The sequence below is a fragment of the Homo sapiens genome, chromosome 1 (genome assembly GCF_000001405.40).
Source record: "Homo sapiens chromosome 1, GRCh38.p14 Primary Assembly".
NCBI lineage: Eukaryota > Metazoa > Chordata > Mammalia > Primates > Hominidae > Homo > Homo sapiens.
In genome coordinates, this window is record NC_000001.11 from 197787677 (window position 1) to 197788749 (window position 1073).

At 56.8% G+C, this 1073-nt stretch overlaps 1 annotated feature.

The window, feature by feature from the left end:
• Window positions 201-701: an enhancer, noted in NCBI's record as "H3K4me1 hESC enhancer chr1:197757007-197757507 (GRCh37/hg19 assembly coordinates)". NCBI's record gives its function as "activates a minimal SCP1, AML or CMV promoter by ChIP-STARR-seq in primed H9 embryonic stem cells {active_cell/tissue: H9 hESC(primed)}" and the evidence as "EXISTENCE:reporter gene assay evidence [ECO:0000049][PMID:30033119]".

Genomic DNA, 1073 nt, shown 5'->3' on the forward strand with positions numbered 1-1073 from the left:
CTAGGACTGTGGATAGTGGCCTCATGCCTGAAGCCATGGGGGCCGACCTGGAGCCTGGGGCTATGGGGCCAGCCTGGAGTCTGGGTGTTTGGGTGCTGGCCTGGAGGTTAGGTGCAAGATCTGGCCTGGATACTGGGGCAATGGGAGCTGGCCTGGACTTGGATCCACTGGGGCAGTCCTGGATCCTGAGTCTGTGGGGCTAGCCCAGTACTAGGGTATACTGGGAGAGCCTGGACCATTGGTATGCTGTAGTATAGGGATGTAGAGCCCAGCTTGGAAGATGGGGCTGCAGGGACTGGCCTGGTATTGGGCAAGCCTGGATCCTGTATCAGTGGGTGCTGGCCTTGGGCCTGAGGCCAGAGGACTTGCCTAAAGCCTGGGGCTGTGTGGGCCGACCTGGCTCTGGGCTGGTCTGGAACCTGGGGCACGCATGAAACCTGGCGCTCCAGGGACTGGCCTGGCCTGCATGGGCCTGGAGTCTGACTGGAGGCCAAACTAGAGGCTGGGAGATTATATCTGCAGGGAAGTTCTGAGGCTGGAGTCTGCAGAAGCTGGCCTGGAGCTGCGGTGGGTGGGCCTGGAGCCTGGGGCCTGGGGCAACAGAGGCTGTACTGTTGGAACCTAGGGCTGTCTTGGAACCTGGGACAGTGGAGGCCAGCCTGGTGCTGGAGTGGGCCTGGAGCCCAGGTCTGCAGGTGCCAGGCTGGTGGCTTGGTCTAGCCTCGTGCTGGGGTTCACTGAGATGGGCCTGATGCTGGGGTGTGCAGCAAAGTTGGGTGCTCACTTCATTCTCCTTCCCTCATGCGAAGGGTATCTCTCTCTGAGCTGCTCTATCTGAGCTTGGGGAAGGGTGTAATATGAAACTGTCCTTCCTACCCTCTTCAATGCATCTTATTTCCATGCTTCACCCAGGTGGCATAATCTCTCACCTTAGTTCTTGTGAAGGTATTTTCTTGCATGGATGGTTGTTCAAATTGATATTCCTGTGAGGGGATAAGCCCTGGAAAGTCCTATTCTATCATCTTGCTGATGCCATTCTCTATTATATTCTTTATCTGCAAACTTTCTGGCTA